This window comes from Homo sapiens, chromosome 9 (genome assembly GCF_000001405.40).
Source record: "Homo sapiens chromosome 9, GRCh38.p14 Primary Assembly".
Classification (NCBI taxonomy): Eukaryota; Metazoa; Chordata; class Mammalia; order Primates; family Hominidae; genus Homo; species Homo sapiens.
This window is the reverse complement of record NC_000009.12, coordinates 124,121,941-124,123,560: the sequence shown is the minus strand read 5'-3', so window position 1 is coordinate 124,123,560 and position 1,620 is coordinate 124,121,941. Positions and strand designations below refer to the sequence as shown.

The window sequence follows — 1,620 nt, the reverse complement described above, 5'->3', positions numbered from 1 at the left end:
ACCATGATTCCATTACTTTCCACCGGCTCCCTCCCATGACACTTGGGGATTATGAGAACTATAATTCAAGATGAGATTTGAGTAGGGACACAGCCAAAACATATCAGTGGCCTTGTGTGGGGGAGGGAGAGTTGGGGCCATAGGCTCAGAGTCACCATCTGCCTTCTCTGGCCTCTGGGACTGTGTCCCTCTCCCTGGTTGCCATGTGCCCTACAAGTGTTCAGACTGAAGGCTGAGGCTACTGTAATTTCTCATCCTCCATCCAGGCCATAGCCCAAAAGCCCCACCCAGATTCCCTCTGGCCTGAAGTCACCCTCTCTTGCCTCACAGTGGCCCTGGCTCTTACCACTGCCTCTACACGACACAGGAAAGCTTCAAGTCTCCCAAAGTGCTGGGATTATGGGTGTGAGCCACTGTGACTGGCCTACTTCATTTTTTTTTAATAGTGCTACAGTATACCAGAGTATAGATATACCAAAATTTAGTCATCCATATTTCCTCTGAACAACACAGGAAAGCTTCGAGTCTCCCTCTGCTGGCTGCCACTGCTACTAGGGGGGTGCTGAGCCAAGAGTCCCATGTGTTAATAATCAACCCTCATAATAAATCAACCCAAAATGTAATGGCTTCAAACAGCAGTCATCATGTAATATCTCTCCTGATTCCTCTGAGTTGGGAATTTGGTGAGGGGGAATTGGCTGGGCAGTTCTGGCGGAGTTGCTCCTGAGATTTTAGTAAGATGTCAGCAGGGCTGCAAATGATCTGCAGGTTGGACTGGGCTGGAGGATCCATTTTAAGTTGGCTCCTCATATTTCCGGCAAGCTAGCATGGGCTATCATCTCCTCTCTATGGGGGCCTCTCCATAGAGCAACTTGAGCTTCCTCACAGCATGGTATCTGGGATCCAAGAGTGAGCATCCTAAGAGAACCAGACAGAAGCTACGTTATCCTGATGACATAGTCTTGAGGTTACATAACATCACTTCTGCCATATTCTGGCCACAAGGGTGAACCCTGACTCAGTGCAACAGAGGACTGTCAAGCACTGTCTAGGGTGTGAGATTTTACCCTACTTGCAAGCTAACAAGTTAGCCTGCCACAGCTTCATGGATGCTGGTAGAAGACATGAGGCTCCAGGGTCTGACACAAAGGACAGGTCATGACTCACAGCAATAGCAGCAGCCAGAGTATCAGCATTTTCTCATTGGTTTCCAAGCCTAAATTCCCACATATCAACATGAAGAGCCCCAGAAATCCTGGGAACACACAGTGGACTGTGTCACAGGAGAGGAACCCCGAGTTTAGGAAGCCCAAGCCCTCTCTAATGGGCAGTGAGCATGCCTGCTTTTGGCTCTAGAGGGAGAGACTCTGCCTGTCTTCCAAGGCTGTTTGCATCAGAAAGAAATTATCCAAAGATGCCACAAAACATGGGCTGTGGTAGCCAGACTTCAAGATGGCCATTATTGGTCACCTTCTTGGGTAGTCCCTGTTGCAACACAATTCCCCATGAAGCTTGCTATAGATTTAATTATGTCCCTCCAAATTCATATGTTGGAGTCCTAACCCCCAGTGTGACTGTATTTGAAGGCAGGGCTTTCTGGAGGTAATTAAGGTTAAATGA

The 1,620-nt window shown here is 48.2% G+C and overlaps 1 annotated feature.

Annotated features, from left to right (window-relative positions):
* Nucleotides 443–602: an enhancer, noted in NCBI's record as "active region_28957". NCBI's record gives its function as "activates an Ori minimal core promoter by ATAC-STARR-seq in GM12878 lymphoblastoid cells {active_cell/tissue: GM12878}" and the evidence as "EXISTENCE:reporter gene assay evidence [ECO:0000049][PMID:35858748]".